The following is a 23,290-nucleotide window of genomic DNA, read 5'->3' as shown; positions in this document are numbered from 1 at the left end:
TTTTATTTGTTTTTTTTTGTTTGTTTGTTTTTTGGAGACTGAGTCTCACTCTTGTCACCCAGGCTGGAGTGCAATGGTGAGATCTCAGCTCCCTGCAACCTCTGCCTCCCGGAGTCAAGCGATTCTCCTGCCTCAGCCTCCCGAGTAGCTGGGATTACAGGCTCCTGCCACCACGTCCGGCTAAATTTCATATTTTTAGTGGAGACGGGGTTTCACCATGTTGGCCAGGCTGGTCTCAAACTCCTGACCTCAGATGATCCGCCCGCCTCAGCCTCCCAAAGTGCTGGGATTACAGGCGTGAGCCACCGCGCCCGGCCTCATTTTTTCATTCATTCAGTTTACATTTACTGAGCATCTCCTCAGTGCCAGTATAATTCAGGAACATAGAAGTGAACAATTCGAACATAGGTTTCTGCTCATATGGACCTTACCATCTTGTAACCTAATTAGAACCTTCCCTTGCCTGCCTGGGAAACACCTGTGCCCACAGTCCCTCCAGTCCCGAGTTTCCCATTGTGACAAATTTAATTGTGTTCCCTCCAAATTCCTGTGTTGAAGTCCTAACCTCCAGTACTTCAGAATATAACTATACTTGGAGAAAGGGCGTTTAGAGAGGCAATTAAGTTAAAATGAGGTCTTTAGAGTGGGCACCAACCCAACATGGCAGATGTCCTCATAAGAAGAGGAAATTTAGGCCGGGCGCAGTGGCTCACGCCTGTAATCCCAGCACTTTGGGAGGCTGAGGCAGGTGGATCACCTGAGCCCAGGAGTTCGAGACCAGGCTGGCCACCATGGCAAAACCCCGTCTCTACTAAAAATACAAAAATTAGCCAGGCGTGGTGGTGGGCGACTGTAGTCCCAGCTACTTGGGAGGATGAGGCAGGAGAATCGCTTGAACCCAGGAGGTGGAGGCTGCAGTGAGCCGAGATTGCACCACTGCACTCCAGCCTGGGCGACAGAGTGAGACTCTGTCTCAAAAAAAAAAAAAAAAAAAGAGAGAGAAGAGGAAATTTAGACACAGATGGTACAGAGGGAAGACCACGTGAAGACACAGGGAGAAGGCGGCCATCTGCAAGCCAAGGAGAGAGGCTGCAGAAGAAACTAATCCTGCCAACACTGTGATCTCAGATTCTAGCTTCCAAAATTGTGAGTAAATAGATTTCTGTTGTTTAAACCACCCAGTATATGTGCCCTAGCAAACTAATACACCCACCAATATCTTTGGAACTAGCTGCCAACAGCTTCAACTATAGTTTTTGTTGTTTTGCTTTGTTTTGTTTTTTGAGACAGGGTCTTACTCTGTTGCCCAGGCTGGAGTGCAGTGGCGTGATCACGGCTCACTGCAGCCTCAACCTCCTGGGCTCAGGTGATCCTCCCACCTCAGCCTCTCAAGTAGCTAAGAGTACCTGTGTGTTAATTTTTTTTTCTTTTATTTGTAGAGATGGGGTTTCACCATGTTTCCCAGGCTGTTCTCAAACTCCTGGCCTCAAGTGATCCACCCGCCTTGGCCACCCAAAGTAGTGCTGGGGTTATAGAGGTGACCGACTGTGCCCAGCCTTAAACCATAGTTTTAACGAAGCCAGAATCTAAGTATCTGAAACTTGTTTTAAAAAATTTTCTGGCCAGGCGCTGTGGGTCATGCCTGTAATCCTATCACTTTGGGAGGCCAAGGCAGGCGGATCACCTGAGGTCAGGAGTTTGAGACCAGCCTGGCCAACATGACAAAACCCTGTCTCTACTAAAAAATACAAAAATTATCCGGGTGTAGTGGCGTGCACCTGTAATCCCAGCTACTCAGAAGGCTGAGACAGGAGAATTGCTTGAATCTGGGAGGCAGAGGTTGCAGTGAGCCAAGATCAAGCCACTGCACTCCAGCTTTCTCAAATAATAATAATAAGTAAATAAAATAATAAATAAAGAAAATTTCCACCAGTAGATGAGTAACTTATCCCCATGCATACACACAATTTTCTGTTAACTTTTCCACAGATGGGAAGTGCATGTATCTTTTTTTTTTTTTTTTTTTGAGACGGAGTCTCGCTGTCGCCCAGGCTGGAGTACAGTGGCGATCTCGCCTCACTGAAAGCTCTGCCCCCCGGGTTCACGCCATTCTCCTGCTTCAGCCTCCCAAGTAGCTGGGACTACAGGTGCCCGCCACCATGCCCGGATAATTTTTTTTTTTTTAGTAGAGACGGGGTTTCACGGTGTTCGCCAGGATGGTCTCGATCTCCTGACCTCATGATCCACCCACCTCAGCCTCCCAAAGTGCTGGGATTACAGGCGTGAGCCACCACACCCGGCTGTGCATGTATCTTATACTCCTGGGAAGTGCTTCCCAAAAGGCTTCTGGGTTTCTGTTTCCTGCCCAAATCACAGATCTATATATATTTGATTCCCTCAGCTAAATCTTTTGACACAAGAAACCCATTTTAGGTCCTTCAACTTCCATCAAATGCTACAGTGTGGTTAAGGGTGCAGTCTTAGTTTCCACAGCTGTAGAACTGGGTACTGATATGATCTGGTGGTGTCCCCACCCAAATCTCAGCTCGAATTGTAGCTCCCATAATTCCCTCATGTTGTGGCAGGGACCCAGTGGGAGATAGTGGAATCATGGGGGCGGTTTCCCCCATGCTGTTCTCATGGTAGTGAATAAGTCTCACGAGATCTAATGGTTTTATAAGGGAAAACCCCTTTTCCCTGGCTCTCACTCTCTTGTCTGCCATCATGTGAGACGTGACTTTTACCTTCTACCATCATTGTAAGGCCTCTCCAGCCACGTGGAACTGTGAGTCCATTAAAACTCTTTCTTTTGTAAATTGCCCAGTCTTGGGTATATCTTTATCACCAGTGTGAAAACAGACTAATACAGGTACTATTGATGTCAATCTTACAGAGTTGTTGTGAAGATTGAATGACATAATAATAGCAGCTTATTGTTACTATGTTCTAGATATTATTTGTTTCAGCTCTTTATTGCTGCATAACAAACTACCCCAGAATGTTGTGGTTTAAACAATAATTATTGACCAGGTGCAGTGGCTCACGCCTGTAATCTTAGTAATTTGGGAGGCTGAGGCAGGTGGATCACTTGAGCCCAGGAGTTCAAGACCAGCTTGGGCAACATGGTGAAACCCTGTCTCTACAAAAAAGTACAGAAAAATTATCCAGGTGTGGTGATGCACACCTGTAGTCCTAGCTACCTGGGAGATTGATGTGGGAGGATCGCTTGAGTCCAGGCGGTCGAGGCTGCAGTGAGCCATGGTCGCACCACTGCACTCCAGCCTTGGTGACAGAGTGAGACCTTATCTAAAAAAAAAAAAAACCCAATAATTATTTTATTGTCTCTTACGATTCTGTGGGTTAACAGGGCTCAACAGGACGGTTTCCCTGCTTCCTGCAATGTTGGTTGGGCTGCAGTCACATGGGGGCTGGAACACCCAAGATGAGCTGGAACACCCAAGATGGGGCACTCACATGCCTGCCAGTTGATGTTGACTATTGGCTGGGATTTCAACTGGGGCTGTCAACTGTAGCAACTACCCATAGCCTCTGCATGTGGCTTGAGCTTCCGCAGCATGGTGGCTGGGTTCTCAGGGACAGTGTCCCAACAGCAAGTGTTCTAAGAGTCAGTAAGCAGAAGCTGCCAGTCTTCTTGAAGTCTACATCCCACATCAGTAACAATGTTACTTCCATCTCATTCTATAAACTCCACCTCTGGATGGGGAGAAGGATAAGGAATTTGTACTCATCTTTAACCCATCATGCTACTCGAGAAACTTTACATGTATTAACTCAACGAATCCTCAATCTCATATTGGCATTACTGTTATTATAATTTTACAGTTGAGGATGCTGGGGTAGAGAGGTCTCCGGTCAGGGCAGTCGTGCTGTTCTGTGATTGTCCAGCAGGGGCGCTCCACACGCAGTCATCAACACACGCAGGATTCCCACAGTGTTCCTACATCCTCATAGCTATGGCTTGTGTTTACATCGCACCAGGGGCATGCTAAATGCTTTGCGTAAAAAATCACGCCTGAAATTCACAAGAATGTCCTGAGGTTGAGTTTTACAGGTGAGGACGTTAAGGCTCAGGGAGTTGAGGCCAAACATAACACGTGGCAGAGTGAGACTCAGACCAGGACCCTCTGGCTCCAAACCTGTGCCCTTGGCCACTTCCCCACAGTGACAACAGCAGCAATAACTGCGTGGCTCACGCCTGTAATCCCGCACTTTGGGAGGCTGAGGCAGGCAGATTGCTTGAGTCCAGGAGTTTGGGGGACCAGCCTGGGTAACGTAGTGAGACCTATGTCTAGACAAAAAGTTAGCCAGGCGTGGTGGCATGAGCCTGTAGTCTCAGCTGCTTGGGAGGCTGAGGTGGGAGGATCACATTAGCCTGGGAGGCAGAGGTTTCAGTGAGCTGAGATTGCACTGCCATACTCCAGCCTGAGCGACAGAGTGATACCCTGTCCCTCCTCTGCAAACAAACAAACAAACACAACAGCTAATTGGTATAGAAGACTCTCTACATACCAGGCACAGGGTGTGTGTGTGTGTGTGTGTGTGTGTGTGTGTGTGTGTGTGTGATAAGTTACAATAACAACCCTATAAAGCACAAAATAGTATCCTTCCCACTTTGCAAATAAACAAATTGAGACCCAGAGAAGTTAAGTATCTATCCAAGGTCACACAGGTGGTAAGCAGTGGATTCAGGATTTGAGTCTAGGAAGCCTGAGTTGGGGAGAGGGGTTGGGGAGAGTCAGATATGAGACAGAAAAGCAAGACTTACTTGTTTATTTATTCATGGATTCAACACATATTCATTGAGTTCTTACAATATGCCAAGCACTGGGGACACAACAATGAACAAAATCTGTCCCCACGGTGGTCACAGTCTGGTGGAGGAGACAAGATCTCATCAGCCACATGGGAAGAGGTGTTGCCTCTGATGGGGGGGCGGGCGATGTGTTAGATTATTTTGTTGTTCCATTCGCTGCCTCCCTGTAGGAGGATATAGGTCCCTGACTGTCGCCATGTGGCTTGGGGTACCCCTGCGGGAGGGGATGCATTCTTACCCCAAAGAGGCAACTTGCGACTTGCATTGGTCTGTGTTGTATGAGTGGCCATGCTGTGAGCCCCTGCAGAAAAGATCCAAACAGGGGGTCTCCCTTCTGCCTGACCCACAGCCACTACTACCAACATGTATGTGAAAATAAACCTTTAGGCTTGGCATGGTGGCTCACACCTGTAATCCCAACACTTTGGGAGGCTGAGGCGGGCAGATCACTTGATGTCGGGAATTTGAGACCAGCTTGGCCAACGTGGTGAAACCTCATCTCTACTTAAAAAAAAAAAAAATTAGCTGGGCGTGGTGGCGTGGGCCTGTAATCCCAGCTACTTGGGAGGCTGAGGCAGGAGGATCGCTTGAATCCGGGAGGCAGAGGTTGCAGTGATCCAAGATGGCGCCACTGCATTCCAGCCTGGGTGACAGAGTGAGACTCCATCTCAAAAAGAAAAAAGAAAGAAAAGAAAAGAAAGAAAAGAAAAAAAAGAAAAGAAACCTTAATCGTTGCAAGGCACTGGGACTTCAGGGGTCTTTGTTACTGAGATAAACACAGTGACAGCCCTCCAAGGTAGGGAGTGAGTTGGGACTACAGTCACAGCAGGTAACTTGTTGTTCATGTAACCTCAGAACCAGCCTAATCCGGTTCAACTTTGTGGAATAAAATGGTGAGTTGCTTTTTCAGTTGCCATGGACCCCCAGGTTGAAGTTCACATATGCTGAGCAGGCCCAGATGAGCCAAACACGAAACCATGGGTGGAACCTAAGTGTTCAGACCAAGGAATGGGACAAGTAAGAAGTGGACACCAGACTGGTCACGGTGGCTTGCGTCTATCATCTCAGCACTTTGGGAGGCTGAGGCGGGAGAATCACTTGTGTCTGCAGTTGAAGACCAGGCCCCGGGGGGCCGTGTGCGCCCTCTTGGCCAGGGGCTTCCTGGACGCCTTGCCCTCAGGCTCCCATGCCTTGCTCTCTGTGTCCTCGAACTCTGCTACTGCTGCCCCTGCAGCTGCCTTTCCCGACTTTATGTCCTCACTGGCAGCCTGGAAAGCTGCGTAGTCCCTTGGTTGCCTTTGGTGTATTTGAATTTCCCACCTCCCCACCCTTTTCCTCTTTCCCTCTTCCCCAGGTGGTGCTCCCGGCTGCAGCAATGCCTGAGCCGCCAGATGCGCACCACCAGCTCCAGGAGCCACTTCGCTCTTTTTGTCCTTTTTGTCTCTTTTAATCCTCGCCCCAGACCCTGAGGAGGCCAGGCTCAGCCTTCTTCCTCCAGGGAGGGGGTTCTGGCTGCGCCAAGGTGAAAATGCACTCCAGAAGGTTCCTGTCATCTCAGGCTTTCCGCGGGACCACAGTGTCCTTGGACAGGACAGACAAGACCTGCGAGAGGGCATCGTTTTTTCTTTCTCATTCCTCCAGCCCAAAGAGTCGATCACAGAAGCAATTTTTTCTTTCTTTCTTTCTTTCTTTCTTTCTTTCTTTCTTTCTTTCTTTCTTTCCTTTCTTTCTTTCCTTCCTTCCTTCCTTCTTTTTTTTTTTTTTTTTTTTGATGGAGTCTTGCTCTGTTGCACAGGCTGGAGTACAGTGGCGCGATCTCGGTTCACTGCAAACTCTGCCTCCCAGGCTGCAGTGATTCTCCTGCCTCGGCCTCCTGAGTAGCTGTGATTACAGGAGCCCACGACCACGCCCAGCTAATTTTTGTATTTTTAGTAGAAACAGGGTTTCACCATGTTGGCCAGGCTGGTCTCAAACTCCTGACCTCAGGTGATCTGCCTTCCTCGGCCTCCCAAAGTGCTGAGATTACAGGCATGAGCCACCGCACCCCGCCTCAGAAGCGATTTTCAACACCTCCTGGCAGCTTTTGGTGTCTGAAGGGCTGGTACAGGCCGCAGTAGTCAGGAACTCAGGGTCCTCCAGCCCCGCTCTGTGACCTGGTGGTTGCACCCGCCCACTTTCTGAAGCTTTACAGCCCTTCAGCATCTCATTCAGGTATGTCTCTGGTGGCCAGAAGAGCCACCATATGGGAGTCACTGCTCCTGCCTTCTTTGATGGTCAAGTGCATCAAATCAGAGGGCTTTCTTCCATCATCTCCTGTTTGGCTTTGTCTGTCCTGGTCATCAGGGCCAAGAACTCCATAGGACCACCTGCCTCGTCTTTGTGGCTTCAGAGGGTCCACTTCTTGTGAACTTGCTCCCTGGCTGCTGCCTGGAGCGCTGTGTACAGCCTGCTGTCATTGTCATCTCTGCTCAAGCCCCCTCATCTGCCTCCTCGATCTTGATGTCCAAGCTCTCCTGGGGAACTTCCTTGGATTCCTTCTTTGCCAAGGGAAATGGACATGTCCCTCGGGCCCTCTTTTAGCTTCCGGCTCGATTTCTGTGACCCCTACTCTTCTTGTTACTATCGCTTGTAGCCCCAGGAGGGGCACCGGCCTTCCCCATGACTGTCCCAACCCCTCAGCCTGGGTCTTTGAAGCGGGAGGGGTGGGCACCTCCCCGGGGGTCCCAGCCACCACGGCCTGCATGGGCCCATCATCCAGCAGCAGGCGTCTCATCTGCCTCAGGAACCTCGTGTCCTGTGCATGGTCCTTCCACAGAACCCTCCAGATCCCATCCTTGCCCAGGACCTCTGTGGGGATGGCAGCGTGATTGACGTCCTCCACAAACTCCACCAGGGCGGCCTGGGCCTTCTTATCCATCAAGCCCTTCATGTGTTGCAGCCCGAACGTGCCCAGGGGCAGGAGGGTCGACTGCAGGACGGCTTCAACATCCACCTGCTCCAGGCCCTCCAGGATCCCGGTGACCAGCAGGGCCCTGTGCGCGTCCATGTCCAGGCCCCTGGCACTAGTCCTGCAAAAGGCTCATGGCCATGGTGCCGCCCACTGGGCACTGATCTTGGGGCAGGAGGGAGCCTGAGATAGGGATGGACTGCAGTGCACGGTGTCAATGACACCCTGGCAAGCCACCCGCAGGGCTTAGAGTCCCAGTTTCAGTGAATGTGGCAATGCTGGAGTGGGGATGAGGGCTCGGGCGTCCTGGATGCCTGCTGGCCAGCTGTTCACAGTGACCTTTCCCCAGGACCCCTCCCCAGAGCTGTCTGAGGATCCGCAGGAGACTATGGATCTGTTCTCCAGGGATGCTCATGGGTCCCTTTGAGAGCAGCGGCTCCCTCTCAGAGCTACCAGATGAGGAAACTCCTCCCGCTCCAGCCACATGGGGACACCCCCCTCCCCGTTGCCCCTTAATCCTGATGGTTCTTCTGTGCCCCATCACCCACCGCAGGAGGCCTGGGCTCTGGGAGGGGCCTGTCTCTCCCTCCTCCATTGGCTACTGCTGTTTCCATGACAACCGTTTTCAGGCTGTTGCAGGGACAGAGCATTTTTTGTTATAAGAAGCCCACTGAAAACGAGACTATGCATGTTGTTTGTTTACTGGGGTCTTTCGTGACTCTGGGAGACAGGCCTCACACAGAGAGCCAGGCTTAGTCAGTGGGACTGGGTGGGCCTCCCTCTGGGGCATCAGGCTCCAGATCTAGGGTAAGTTTGATGTTTAGGACCCAGTGTGGGCCAGGTGAAACAGAGACTGAGTGAAGGTTGTGCGGCGGGCTGGGCCTGATGCAGGGGCACAGATTCTATCCAGGTAAAAAAACTACCACCAGCCGGGCACGGTGGCTCATGCCTGTAATCCCAGCACTTTGGGAGGCCAAGGCAGGCAGATCCAAGCTCAGGAGTTCGAGACCAGTCTGACCAACAGGATGAAACCCCATCTCTACTAAAAATATAAAATCAGCTGGGCGTGGTGGTGGGAGCCTGTAATCCCAGCTACGCAGGAGGCTGAGGCAGGAGCATCACTTGAACCTGGGAGGTGGAGGTTGCAACGAGCCGAGATCGCGCCATTGCACTCCAGCTTGGATGACAAAAGCGAAATTCTGTCTCAAAAATAAATAAATAAATAAATAAATAAATAAATAAATAAATAAATAAAATAAAGTAAAAAATCACAACTGGCTGAGCGCGGTGACTCATGCCTATAATCCCAGCACTTTGGGAGGCCGAGGCAGGCGGATCACTTGACGTCAGGAGTTTGAGACCAGCGTGGCCAACCTGGTGAAACCCTGTCTCTACTGAAAACACAAAAATTAAAAAAAGAAAAGAAAAGAAAATACAAAAGTTAGCTAGACATGGTGGTGTGCACCTGTGATCCCAGCTACTCGGGAGACTGAGGCAGGAGAATCATTTGAACCCGGGAGGCGGAGGTTGCAGTGAGCCGAGATCGCGCCACTGCACTCCAGCCTGGGCAACAGAACAAAAAATGAAAAACCACGACCTCTGGGCAGCCACTGCTACCATGACCCTGCTGGAGCCTGCTGTGCAGTGGGAAGTAGGCGGGGTGCTCAGGTGAGGACTTGCTGGTGGAGGGAGGTGGGAATCTTTGGGCTTCAGGAAGAACCCCTGGGACACCTGCAAATTATTATGTCATGACACCCAGGAGGTCCCTTTCATGTCTTGCTAACTGTCCCACCAGCACCCCCAGGGTGGCCTCAGTTCTTTCCTGGGCTGCACCCCGTGTCTGGGAACACTGTCATGGTGAGCCAAGCCCCAGGCCCTAGGATGAGCCCCAGGGTTCATTCATTCATCCCTTCTTCCACCTGGACAACATAATGGAGAGAAAAATCAGCTGTTTCGTATCTTCAGCCCACCCCATGACTAAGCTGCTGGTCTGACCTCTGTGCAAGCTTGGGTCTGTCCTGCAAATGCAGGGATTGAGAATATGCCTTCCAGACAGATCTGCTCCAGGGATGGTGATACCGTCTCTACCAGGCAGCTGTCATCTTGTTCCCTGTTGACAAGAGACCCAGAGCCCCAGGAACAAGGTGAAAAGACTCAGGAATATGGCAAATGATGGTGCCAAGGTCTAAAAACTCCAGAAGACCCTTTCCCTCTCCCCCTAACTCCTGGTCCAGCATTTGGAGCCAGATGTACTGACTGGCAGGACACTGAGAAGCCACCCCCCACCCTGCTTCCCTTGGGGCCTCAGAGAATGCTTTGAGGAGTGGGATACACAGGACTGTTTAGGTCCCAAGTACAGAAACCCAAGTTAGCCATGTTTAAGCAGGTTAGTGAAAAAGGAATTCATTGGCTCATATTACTATAAAGACCAGGGTTGGCTGGGCACGGTGGCTCACGCCTGTAATCCCAGGACTTTGGGAGGCCGAAGTAGGCGGATCACGAGGTCAGGAGATTGAGACCATCCTGGCCAACACGGTGAAACCCCGTCTCTACTAAAAAAAAAAAAAAAAATACAAAAAATTAGCCAGGCCTGGTGGCAGGCGCCTGTAGTCCCAGCTACTCGGGAGGCTGCGTCAGGAGAATGGCGTGAACCCAGGAGGCGGAGCTTGCAGTGAGCTGAGATCGCGCCACAGCACTCCAGCCTGGGCAATGGAGCGAGACTCTGTCTCAAAAAAAAAAAAAAAAAAAAAAAAAAAAAAAGTCCAGCGTGGCTTTGGCTTCAGGCATGGCTGGTTCTAGGGTTCCTTCATTCATTAATTTAGCCCTGGACCCAGGGCTGACTCCTATTGGATGAACTGGATCATGTGCTTGCCCCTGCCCCAATCACAGTGACCAGGGAGGGAGGAAGCGTACTGACTGGCCAGGCTTGGGTGGGCAGGGGATTGGGTGAGCCCTGTAGGAGTCACCTGGAAGGAGAGTGGGGAGGGGGATTCTCTGGAGAGAAATGGAGGTGAATCATTCAGGAGAGGGAAGTGGACTCTGGGCTGGAAAGCAGGAGACTCTGCCCTAAAGGCATGATGGCATTAGTGAGACTCACTGTACCTGGCCTGGGGAGGGACTGAAGGGAGTATGGGACCCTCTCCAGGAGCCCTAGGGCCTTGGCTTCCAACAGAGTCCTGGCAGCATCCCCCGACAGCCTCAGCAGGATGAATTTTGGGGGTCCTGGGAGCCTGAAGCGTGCACTCTTGGCTAGCGGGTCCGGGATCTTCTCTTCCTGGCTGTGGGTGTTTGTTGGAGAATGTCTCAATTTCTGGCTGAGGGAGAGGGAGAGGGTGTCACTCATTGAGTGTTCATTTATTTAACCCCGTAGACTTCACTCATCCATTCATTCATTCAGTCTTTCTGTAGTGCCTGTGCAGGGCTCTGGGGACACGATGATGACTGAAGCCCTGCCTCCTGGAGCGCAGGGAAAGCCTGGATTCTTAGGGGAGGTGAGTCGGAAGAGATGGAGCTAACCCTGGATCAGGACAGGCTTACTCAGAGGAGGTGACATTGAGCTGAAGGGAGGAGGTGACCATTTGTGGGAGGTGGGGGTAGGGAAAGGGAAGAAGTGCTTTCGAGGCAGCCAATGGGCTAAGATTCCAGTGACTAAATGGGGAACAGGATGTCTAAGGAGCTGGGGGTGGAAGGGTGTGGCTGAGCCTCGGGATGGGGGTTGGGCAGGAGGTGGCAGGGCCAGGCACAGAGGGCATTGTGGTTTGGTCACGTCAGGCTATGACCAAGGAACGGAAGGTTGTGGGGTTACCAAGGCCAGAGCTGGAAGCTTCTCTGCAGCTTATGTGCTGTGTGACACTGGGAAAGTTAAATGACCTCTCTGAGCCTCACTTTCCTCATTTATAAGATATTCTCAGAATTGCTGTGTTGATTTAGGCACGTGGATAATTTAGCATAGGTACTGGTCACAGTAGGGCTTTAAGTATCGATTATTGGTGTCAATCCTTATTTTCATAATTCCCTTTTGTGTGTAGAACGGGCTGTTGCTGTATGAGGAATTTGCTGGGTCAGAGCGCCCTCTGGTGGGCGTGGGGAGCCAGTTCAGGGAAGAAAGATGAAACCAGAGGTTTTGATTTTAAAGGGCACCACCCTCCCTCCCCTTCTTATTCTGTCCCTTCCTCCCTTTCTTTCCCTTTCTTCCCTCCACATGCATTCACCAGGGTCTGATCCTGCCTAGATGGGGACTGAAACAGCCCAGGTCCTACCTTCCCGGGGGGTTTACAGCCCGGTAGGGGGAGGCAGAGGAACCCCACCTGAGTAGAGCTTAACACTGGGGAGAAGGTGGGACTGCGGGATACAGGGCTTCATAGGAACCCGACTTGTTCCCGGGGCACTGGGGAACTAGAGAAAATTTTGGAATAAGGGAGGGGGAGGGTCAAGTTTGCGATGTCATGTGGATGAATGGGACGGGTGAGGCTGAGGCTGGACCCGACGGGGAGGCCGCAGAAGGCGTGGGCTGAAAGCGTGGAATGGTGTGGGCTGAAGGCGTGCAGGGCGTGGGAGGGGGATGTTGGGGCAAAGTCCAGGACCCTAGCCCACTCCTAGTTTGGGAGAGGAGTCTCTCTCACCCTCAGGGTTCGTCCCCAGCCTGGTGATCTGCTGGGAGCTGCCAGCCACTCATCTCTTGAACTGGCCCAGGCCTGGGGCCCTGTGTCCCCAGGCAGAGCTCCCATAGTTCCCCGTTAGCCTAGAGGGTCACAGCTCCCAGTCCCCCAGTGTGGGTCCTGCCACTCATGGGCCCTGGTGGGCCTGAGAATCTAGTGGGCCTCCTGGGGTAGGCTCTGTCCCTGAATGGGCAGAAACAACCTTTCAGCTCTCACAGTGGGGTGACATAGTGGACGAGGGATGGGGGATGCTGGGTCTCTGGACGCATGCCTGGGGGTCTCCCTAGGGGGTTGATGGTTTTGGCCTTCAGGCAGAAAGAACCTGGTGGCAAAGTTCCAGAGGTTAGCGGAGCCTAGCATGGAGGCGGTGAGTGGGGCTGCAGTGTGTGTGCGTGGGGGTTATGATGAAGCTGCAGGGAGCAGATCACGCAGGGCCGTGGGGAGAGCCAGGGCTTTCTGCGGGAGGCTCTGGGAGCCCTGGGAGGTTCCGAGTAGGGAAAGGACAGGGTCAGGTTTGTGCCTTAGGAACACCCCTCTGGAAGGGCAGGACAAGAGGCTGTGAGGCCAGGTGGAGGCTGAGCCAGGAACGTGGGCAGGAGAGGCCAGGTCAGGGCTGGGTGGGGCTGGAGGGTGAGAAGGGAATGGCTGGATCTGAGAGATGTTCAGGAGGCCGACTTGGCAGAAGAAGTGAAGTGACTGCCGGGCTGTGGGGGCTGAGGGGTCGGGAGGAGTCCAGGATGAGGCTCAGTCTCAGCTGGGTGATGGGGTGGAAGGTGGACTTCCCTGGGATGGGAGCAGCCTGCTTGGGGGTTGCTGCTGAGGCTGCGTCAGAGTTCCGGGCAACAGCAGCCTTTGGGAGGGGCCCCTTACCCCCCAGGACCCCGGATCCAGGCTCTCAGGAGTCCTGGGGCTGGGCAGGCAGCCAGAGGGGCCTGGCACTGAGCTGGCACGGAGGAGAACGGCCCTGCTGGCCCAGGCCCCTCGCTGTCTGGCAGGCAGTAGAAGGCACAGAGCCCCAGGCTCCAGGGCTGTGGGAATAACAATAAGAAGAATAATGACAACTCACCTTGGCCAGGTGCGGTGGCGCATGCCTATAATCCCAGCACTTTGGGAGGCTGAGGTGGGCAGGAGGTCAGGAGTTCCAGATCAGCCTGGCCAACATGGTGAAACCTCCATCTCTACTAAAAATACAAAAATTAGCTGGGGGTGGTGTCAGGCGCCTGTAATCCCAGCCACTCAGGAGGCTGAGGAAGGAGGATTGCTTGAACCCAGAATATGGAGGTTGCAGTGAGCTAAGATTGCGCCACTACACTCCAGCCTGAGTGACAGAGTGAGACTCCATCTCAAAGTAATAATAATAATAATAATTACAGCTCATCTTAATTGAGCCCTGCGGTGGCCAGGTATGCCATGGCGTTTCATCTCCCTAGGGGCTGGGAGATGGCTAGGAACAGCCCTGTTTGTTTCATAGAGGAAGCATATTAATCAGAGTTCTCCAAAGAGACAGAATCAACAGGATATGTGTAGACAGAGATAGGAGAAGGGGTTTATTGGGCAACTGGCTCATTCAATTATGGAGGCGGAGAAGTCCTGAGGCTGTGTGCAGGCTGGAGACCCTGGGATGCAGGGAGTGTGGCTCAGAACAAGTCCGAAGGCCTCAGAACTGGGGAAGCCAACGGTGTAATTCTCAGTCCGAAGCCAAAGGCCTGAGGATTTGAGGGGCAGCTGGCGTAAGTCCTGGAGTCCAAGGCTGGGAAGCCTGGAGTTGTCGCTGCCTGCACTGGTTCCCACGGGGGACCAGGAGCTGAGCCCATGGTCCTCAGACGGGCAAGGTGTTTGATTTTAATGTAGTTATAGCTAAGGTTGATGAAGTGTGCCGGTGTGAGCAGCTTAGCTATGGACAGTTTTGGGGTGCAGAAACCAAGACTTGGAGGTTAAACATGTCCAGGGTTGCACCATCAGCACTGGTGCCCGGGCAGCCTGACTTCCGCGTTCATGGAATCCAGGGCTGGGCAGCCTGGGGACAGCCGCTGTGCCCCCACCTCGGCCTCAGTGTGCACGCCCCTTCCCTCCCACCCAGGTGGTCAAGGTGAAGCCCCACGACAAGGATGCCAAAATGAAATACCAGGAGTGCAACAAGATCGTGAAGCAGAAGGCCTTTGAGCGGGCCATCGCAGGCGACGAGCACAAGCGCTCCGTGGTGGACTCGCTGGACATCGAGAGCATGAGTGAGTCAGGCCTGGATGCTCCACGCTCCAGCCCAGAACATTCCACACGGGCCTTCTCCATTCCCTGGGGGTGGGGGTGGGCTCAAGGGTAGCCCCTTGTTCTGCCCCCAGGCTGCTGTCTGTCGCTCCTCTGCCTGTGTTCCAGGGCGCTCCATCCGCAGCCCAAAGCTCCGTCTCATGATTCCCAATGGGCGAGGTCAGGAGCTGCAACACCCCGCTGATATGGCTTGGCTGTGTCCCCACCCAAATCTCATCCCCACCCAAATCTCATCTTGAATTGTAACTCCCATAATTCCTACATGTTGTGGGAGAGACCTGGTGGGAGATAATTGAATCGTGGAGGCAGTTTCCCCCATACTGTTCTCGTGGTAGTGAGTAAGTCTCACGAGATCTGATGGTTTTATAAGGGGTTTCCCCTTTCACTTGGTTCTCATTCTCTCCTGCCTGTCGGCACATGAGACGTGCCTTTCATCTTCCACCATGATTGTGAGACCTCCTCAGCCACATGGAACTGTGAGTCCATTAAACCTCTTATTCTTTATGAATTACCCAGTCTCGGGTATGTCTTTATCAGCAATGTGAAAATGGACTAATACACCTTCCCTACCCACCAGCATCACCCCTGCCCGGGCCCTTCTCCATGCTGGCTTCTTGGCCACTCTGTCATCCTCTCCTCCCTCCCTCTCTGCCGGCAGTAGCCCCGCCCCCACAGGCTGTGTCTGGTTCACCTCTAGGTGCTGAGAAGGTCCAGCCATTCATCCCACAGATGATTATTGAGCATCTCCTATGTGCCAGGCACTGTCCTAGGCACTGGGGGTACAGCTATGAACAAAACCCTTCCTGTCCGCATGGAGCTGATATTCTAGGAGGCAGATAAGATGATGAACAAGTCACAAAATGAATCGTGCTAAGTGCCATAAAACTGAATAGGGTAAAGGGGGGCGGGTGAAGGAAGAGAAGGAGGTCAGGAAGAGGCCTCTGGGCCAGACCTGACCAGAGAGGGGACTCTTCACTCGCTCTGTCCCTCTCTCAATCTGTGTGTCCAGAGCCAGGTCCACCTCATCCCTGGGAGCAAGACCCCCTTCCCCCTTACAGTGGCCGTGGTCGCTGACTCTCGTGTCTCCCCTGTTCACATGCCAGCCATCGAGGGTGAGTACAGCGGACCCAAGCTTGAGGACGACAAAGTGACAATCACCTTCATGAAGGGGCTCATGCAGTGGTACAAGGACCAGAAGAAACTGCACCAGAAATGCGCCTACCAGGTAATGCACCTGTCAGGTACCGGGCACCCGGGAACCCTGGGATGGCATCACAGCACTGCCAGGCGCGGGCACTGAGCAAAATGACAGGAGAAGGGCAGCCACAACAGCCAACACCAAACAGGAGTCGTGGTCATTATGGATTGGCAGTAATCCCTCCCAATATTCAGATACAATAAACTATCTCTACAAATAAAGCCACCAACCTTGGCTCACTTGTTCAGAAGATAGCACCGTTAGAGAAATCCAAGAAGCACCAACCCTCTCACTACACATGACACTGACTTCCTTTGGTGGACAGAGCTCCAATTCCTTGTATTGGTGTCTCTGATTTAGAAAAGGCTATTATGGGCCAGGCACAGTGGCTGACACCTGTAATCCCAGCACTTTGGGAGGCCGAGGCGGGTGGATCACTTGAGGTAAGGAGTTCAATGCCAGCCTGGCCAACATGGTGAAACTTCGTCTCTACTAAAAATACTAAAATTAGCTGGGTGTGGTGGTGCACACCTGTAGTCCTAGGTACTTGGGAGGCTGAGGCAGGAGAATTGCTTGAACCCAGGAAGGGGAGGTTGCAGTGGTCCAAGATCATGCCACTGCACTCCTGCACTCCAGCCTGGGCAAGAGAGCAAGACTCCATATCAAAAAACAAAAACAGAAACAGAAAAAGAAAAAGAAGGAAGGAAGGAAGGGGCTATTATAAATGCTCTAAAACTTTAGAAAAAAACTTCAATGACACTGTTAATTTCCTCCAAGGCTTACAAACCGAGGTTTCTAGCCTTGCTTCAATAATTTCACAAAATGTATGAGTCTGAGCTACTCTAACTGCCCAAAAAGGAGGTATAATGAATGAAGCTGTCATTTCTGTGTTAATATATCAAGAATTTTTGCCCACACTTCAGAGGATTTTAAAGAACAGATGTAAATCTTATCAGATAGGTGATACTTTTTCCATTTATTTATTTAGTTGGTTACATCTTGGCTCCTGGGAATCTCTCCTCTGGTGAATTTTCCAACCCTTGGCTATATTATTCTCCTCCTAGTCATGATATTAACCTCCCTGGGAGTTGCATCCTCTTAAGGGTTTCCAATGCCTCTCAACAGCCACTGATGCAACTAATGACACCCATCTGCATTAGACAACTTGGAGAACCTAAGGACTCTACCACATATGTCTAAGATGACTATGCAGCTATCAAAAATGACTATACACCCATCTGTCCCAGCCAATAGCACTCCCAGAAAGTAATGCTATACGATTTCATTACCCCCTCAGCTTGCTATGTCAAAAGGGGAAAGTTGTTAAAATAAAATGGGGGGAGCCAGGCGCAGTGGCTCACACCTGTAATCTCAACACTTTGGGAGGCCAAATTGGGAGGATCCTTGAGCCCAGGAGTTTGAGACCAGCCTGGGCAACATGGCAAGACTCCATCTCTATAAAAGTAAAAAAAAAAAAATTAGCTGCACAAAGTGGTGCATGCCTGTGGTCCCAGCTACTTGCGAGGCTGAGGCAACAGGATCACCTGAGCACAGGAGGTTAAGGCTACAGTGAGCTGCGATCGTGCCATTCACTCCAGCCTGGGCAACCGAGCGAGACCCTGTTTCACACACACACACACAAAACTAGGGGGGGTGGATCCGGACTGAGAATTCCCCAAGAAGACAAAATCAGGCCACATAAGCAAAACCTAAGGTACTCTGACTTTTGAATGTAAGCGAAACTCAACTTAGATCTCGATCTCTCTCTCAATCTCTCTCCCTTGTTTTTTTTTTTTTTTTCTGAGATGGAGTCTGGCTCTGTCGCCCAGGCTGGAGTTCAGTGGTGCGATCTCGGCTCACTGCAAGTTCCGCCTTCTGGGTTCACGCCATTCTCCTGCTTCAGCCTCCCGAGTAGCTGGAACTACAGGCGCCCGCCACCTAATTTTTTGTATATTTAATAGAGACGGGGTTTCACCATGTTAGCCAGGATGGTCTCAATCTCCTGACCTCGTGATCCGCCCACCTTGGCCTCCCAAAGTGCTGGGATTACAGGCGTGAGCCACCACGCCCGGCTATCTCTCTCCCTTTCTTTCCTTTCTCCTTTCCTTTCTCTCTTTCTTTCTTTCTTTCTTTCTTTCATGGAATCTTGCTCTGTGACCCAGGCTGGAGTATAGTGGCATGATCTCTGCTCACTGCAGCCTCCATCTCCGGGGTTCAAGCAATTCTTGTGCTTCAGCCTGCCAAGTAGCTGGGATTACAGGCACGCACCACCACGCCCTGCTAATTTTTGTATTTTGTATTTTTTTTTTTTTAGTAGAGACGGGGTTTCACCATGTTGCTCAGGCTGGTCTCAAACTCCTGACCTCAAGTGATCTGTCTGCCTCAGTCTCCCAAAGTGCTGGGATTACAGGGGTGAGCCACCGCACCCAGCCAGCTTAGGTTATTTCTTACAAATGCCTCTGATAATCATAAACGAAACTTAAGTTGCCTTCCCCAAATGATATAAGAGGATTGCTTTTAACCAGTCCCGTGCAATCTGGAAACCTCCACTGTATAGACAGTCACTGTAAAGGTTAAACCACTTCCTGATTTTTGCTTTCTCAGCCATCCTGTAACAACATGCCTCTGAGCTTCTTACTACCTGGGTTGAGGTCTCCTGGATTGTGCCCTGTCCCCACTTTTTTTTAATGACAACAAACTTTTAAATATTTATTCATTGGATCTGATTTTGTTTTGGACACTGGCATGCAAAGGGGAGGGAGATGGTCATAGGACTGTTGTCAACGTTCAAAAGCAAAACAGGATTTATATGAGAAAGGTAAGAGAAGGGAGAGAAAACTTCATACTGAAGTCTGGGTGCCCTGGCTCACACCTGTAATCCCAGCTCCTTGGCAGACTAACACGGGAGGATCACTACAGGCCAGGAGGTCAAGGCTACAGTGAGCCATAATCACGCCATTGCACTCCAGTCTGGGCAACAGAGCAAGACTCTGTCTCAAAAAGAAAAGAAAAATACAACTTTTGACTGAAAACAATGAATTGTGTTTTCACATTTTGGGGGTCAAATTGATTATCCAGAAACTAGAAAAGAGCAGGATGACTGGAGGAGTGAAAGAAAGCTTTTTTTTTTTTTTTTTTTTTTAAGAGACAGGTCTTGCTATGTTGCCCAGGCTGGTCTTGAACTCCTGGCCTCAAGCAATCTTCCTGTCTTGGCCTCCCAAGGTGTTGGGATTACAGGCATTAGCCACTGTGCCCAACCAAGAAAGCAATTTCTGATACTTGGGATTTTCCAGAAAACCTGAAGAGCTTAGCTGTGGAGCGTTTGTAGGAGGCTGTCTCCATGACATCTGCTGTGACCTCCTGTTGGCAATGGCCCATAGTTAGCCCAGGTGACCCCATTCCTTCCTCAAGCTTTCCTCAAGGTCTGTTTTTTCGGTTTGTTTGTTGTTTTTGAGATGGAGTCTTGCTCTGTTGCCTAGGCTGGAGTGCAGTGGTGCGATCTTGGCTCACTGCAACCCCCGTCTCCCGGGTTCAAGTGATTCTCTTGCCTCAGCCTCCCGAGTAGCTGGGACTACAGGCGTGGGCCACCACGTCTGGCTAATTTTTGTGTTTTTAGTAGAGATGGGGTTTCACCATGTTGGCCAGGCTGGTCTCGAACTCCTAACTTCAGGTGATCCGCCCACCTCAGCCTCCCAAAGTGCTGGGATTACAGGCGTGAGCCACCGTGCCCGGCCCTTCAAGGTCTATTTTATCTCCTTCTATGTCTATATCCACAGTAATATCTATGTCTACATTGATGTTTATGTCTATATCCATGTCTACGCCCACAGCTCTATCCTAATCTATACCTACACCATAGGGGCTGCTATATCCTTATTGGTAGCTTATCCTCTATCTGCAACTATATCCACATCTCCATCTACATTCAGATCAGTCTCCCTCTCTCTGTCTATGTCTGTGTTCATTTTCTAGAGCTGCTGTCATAAATTCTCACAAACTTGGTGGCTAAAAATAACAGACGCTTATTTTCTCACAGTTCCGGAGGCCAGATGTTCAAAACAAAGATGCCAGCAGGGCCTTGTTGGCTCTGAAGGTTCTATGGGAGAATCCTTTCTTGCCTCCTCCAGCTTCTGGGGGCTCTTGATGTCTCTTGGCTCCAGTCTCTGGCCTTCTCTTCTTCTCTGTGTCTTTTCTTTTGCTGTGTCTTTTTTTTGGAGGGGGCGGGACAGGGACAGAGTCTCGCTCCATCGTCCAGGCTGGAGTGCAGTGGCTGGCGCGATCTCGGCTCACTGCAACCTCCGCCTCCCGGGTTTAAGCGATTCTTCCACCTCTGCGTCCCAAGTAGCTGGAATTACAATTGCCTGCCACCATGCCTGGCTAATTTTTGTATTTTTAGTAGAGACGGTTTTCACCATGTTGGCCAAGGCTGGTCCTGAACCCCTGATCTCAAGTGATCTGCCCACCTCAGCCTCTCAAAGTGCTGGGATTACAGACATGAGTCACCGCGTCCAGCCAGGTTTCACTTATTTCTGTAGATTCTTGGTCCAACCAACAAGTTTCCCACAATTTATTGCATTATTTAAAAAAATATCTATCATCATAAAAATAATACGTCTGATATTATTTTTCTATAATATTCTAGGCATTATTATATAATATTCTAGGTGGTATTATTATTCTAGGCATACTATTAAACACAGAAAGAAAGACACGGAGGTCAGCAGCCTTCAAAGATGGCTACTAACAATTCCTCCCTTCCCTGTACACACGCATCACTCCTCCCATCACCAGGGGGGTCTACTTCCCCTCCCCTCCATTCTGGGCAGGCCTCGTGACTTGTTTTGACCAATAGAATGTAGCAGAGTGATGCGTCAATTTCAAGCCTAGGCCTTAAGAGTCCAGGAGACTCCCACTCTTACTCACGTGCATGCCAGCTGCCATCTTGCAAGGAAGCTAAAGCTGGGTTACAAAATAGTGAAAGCCCAGGTGAATGCAGAGAGGCTGTGTGGGGGAGAATCAGCCTATTACCAGCTGACATTAGCCACACAAGTGACCGAGGGAGAGACCAGCAGCAGAACCACGCAGTCAACCCTCTGAATGCTAGTAAGTCATTGTTTGAAGCCCCTAAACTCTAGCGGGTTGTGAACAGCAATATATGGCTGAAGCAGACACCCCTCCCTTAAGCCCCCAGCCCAGAGAGGAACCCTGCTAACCTTTTGATGCAGGTCCTACCAGATTTGTTTTTTCCTGTGCTTATACATATAATAAAAAAAAATCCACAAAATAGACATCTTGGCTTATTTTTACATTTCAGGAAAGCTGTTCAGAATGATTTTATTAATAGTACAGCTGCAGCAGGAAGAGGAAATATAGCAAAATTTGCCTCTTAACCACCAAGAGTCATGCTGAGCTCTTCATAGCTATGAAAATCAAAGACCCAAATTTACAGACTTTGCACATTTGTGCTGAGTTACTTTAGTACTTTGTCTACAGGTCTCCACAGGCCCAGTGGGGAGGAACAGTTATTTCTTAAGCACCTTCCAAAAATTTTTGAACCAGAAAAAAAGTATCAGTTTCAAAATACAGAAGAAACTGGCAAAATCACAGTTAACTAATACATCATTAAATATTTCATAGTAAATCAAGTCAAGTAATTGTTAAATATTTCTATCATGTCTTTTTTTTTTTTTTTTTTTTTTTTTTTTTTTTTGAGACAGGGTCTTGCTCTATCACCCAGGCTGAAGTGCAGTGGTACGATCACAGCTCACTGCAGCCTCAACCTCCTGGGCCCACGTGATCCTCCCACCTCAGCATCCCAAGTAGCTGTGACCGAAGGCATGCACCACCACACCTGGCTAATTTTTTTATTTTTATAGAGATGGGTCTCCCTATGTTGCGCAGGCTGATTTCAAACTCTTGGCCTCAAGCAATCCTCCCACCTTGGCCTGGGGATTACAGGCGTGAGCCACCATGCCCAGCCTCCGTGTCTTTACATTTGAGAACAATTTGTAGGTTAGCTTTGTCTTTGTTTTTTTAGAGATGGGGGTCTTGCTGTGTAGCCCAGGCTGGACTCAAACTACAGGGCTCAAGGCATTCTTCATCTCAGCCTCTTGAGTAGGTTTGACTACAGTCATGTGCCACTGTGCCCAACTACCTTTGTCCGGGTTCCTAGGAATTCTCCAGAAGGCAGAATGAGTACAAAGAAAACACAGGCAAGTTTCTGTTAAAGAGTTACCTGTGGCCACAGTTCCTCTGGAAGTTTAACATAGAGTTACCATATACTATGCTATCGCCATCCCCAAATTCATATGTTGAAGTCTTAACTCCCAGCACCTCTGAATGTGACTGTATTTGGAGATGGGGGTCTTTAAAGAGGTAATTAAGGTAAAATGAGGCCGGGTGCTTTGGTGGCTCACAGCTGTAATCCCAGCACTTTGGGAAGCTGAGGCGGGCAGATACCTGAGGTCAGGAGTTCGAGACCAGCCTGCCCAACATGGTGAAACCCTATCTCTACTAAAAATACAAAATTTGCCTGGCGTGGCGGCATATGCCTGTGATCCCAGCTCCTTGGGAGGCTGAGGCAGGAGAACTGTTTGAACTAGGGAGGAGGAGGTTGCAGTGAGCCGAGATCATGCCATTGCACTCCAGCCTGGGCAACAAGAGCGAAACTTTGGTTCAAAAACAAACAAAAAAAAAGTAAAATGAGGTCCCATGTGTGGGCCCTTAATCCAACCTGACTGGTGTCTTTATGAGAAAAGGGGACCAGGACACAGCCCCATGCAGAGGGAAGACCATGTGAGGATACAGGGAGAAGACGGCCGTCTGCACAGCCAAGGAGAGAGGCCTCAGGAGACACCAACCTATCCAACACCTTGATTTTGGACTTCTGGCCTCCAGAATTGTGAAAAAGTTAATTTCTGTCATTGAAGCCACCCATTCTGTGATAGTTTGTTACAGCAGTCCTCAGCGCGTAGAATACGATGCCATTTGTATGGCAGACAGTCTCATTGTACACACGCGTGTTAATGTGTGAGTATCCCTGTGGGGCGCAGAGATGGCTGGGGGAGTTCCCCGCTGCCCTGCTCAAAAGGTGGAGCCTGCCCCGCCCTCCCCAACCCTTTCCTTGACCTTGGCATAATCACTGTGGTCTTTATAAGCTTTGCCTGCCAGTTCCCTCTGAGACTTCATTTCCTCCCAGGACTGGGTCCTGCGCTCCCGTCTCGCTTTAAACTAAGTAAGAACATTTATAGAAAATGCAAGGCCCGGCCGGGCACAGTGGTTCACGCCTGTAATCCCAGCACTTTGGGAGGCCGAGGCGGGCAGATCACGAGGTCAGGAGTTCAAGACCAGCCTGGCCAACATGATGAAACCCCATCTCTACTAAAGAC

At 50.6% G+C, this 23,290-nt stretch overlaps 1 pseudogene across 2 annotated transcripts in view, besides 2 other annotated features; it reads left to right on the top strand.

Annotated features, from left to right (window-relative positions):
• The window catches only part of PPP5D1P (PPP5 tetratricopeptide repeat domain containing 1, pseudogene), an 82,238-nt pseudogene extending 59,325 nt beyond the window's left edge, over positions 1–22,913 (top strand). The window contains exons 2-4 of one of the 2 annotated variants that reach the window (NR_172902.1): positions 14,520–14,667; positions 15,808–15,929; positions 21,620–22,913. The product of NR_172902.1 is annotated as a PPP5 tetratricopeptide repeat domain containing 1, pseudogene, transcript variant 1 (transcript). Of the gene's footprint in view, positions 1–14,519; positions 14,668–15,807; positions 16,124–21,619 lie in introns of those variants that run through there. The other variant, NR_172903.1, reaches the window with a different exon arrangement.
• Positions 10,634–10,743: a silencer, noted in NCBI's record as "silent region_10813". NCBI's record gives its function as "represses an Ori minimal core promoter by ATAC-STARR-seq in GM12878 lymphoblastoid cells {active_cell/tissue: GM12878}" and the evidence as "EXISTENCE:reporter gene assay evidence [ECO:0000049][PMID:35858748]".
• Positions 19,323–19,502: a silencer, noted in NCBI's record as "fragment chr19:47025347-47025526 (GRCh37/hg19 assembly coordinates)". NCBI's record gives its function as "represses an EF-1alpha promoter that drives an FKBP-Casp9 reporter gene in an ReSE screen in phorbol 12-myristate 13-acetate-treated (for megakaryocytic differentiation) K562 erythroleukemia cells {active_cell/tissue: K562(+PMA)}" and the evidence as "EXISTENCE:reporter gene assay evidence [ECO:0000049][PMID:32094911]".
• Positions 22,914–23,290: the final 377 nt, after the last annotated feature.

Source organism: Homo sapiens, chromosome 19 (assembly GCF_000001405.40).
Source record: "Homo sapiens chromosome 19, GRCh38.p14 Primary Assembly".
Classification (NCBI taxonomy): domain Eukaryota; kingdom Metazoa; phylum Chordata; class Mammalia; order Primates; family Hominidae; genus Homo; species Homo sapiens.
Note: the sequence above shows the minus strand (reverse complement) of the source record. Positions and strands in the feature narration are given on the sequence as shown.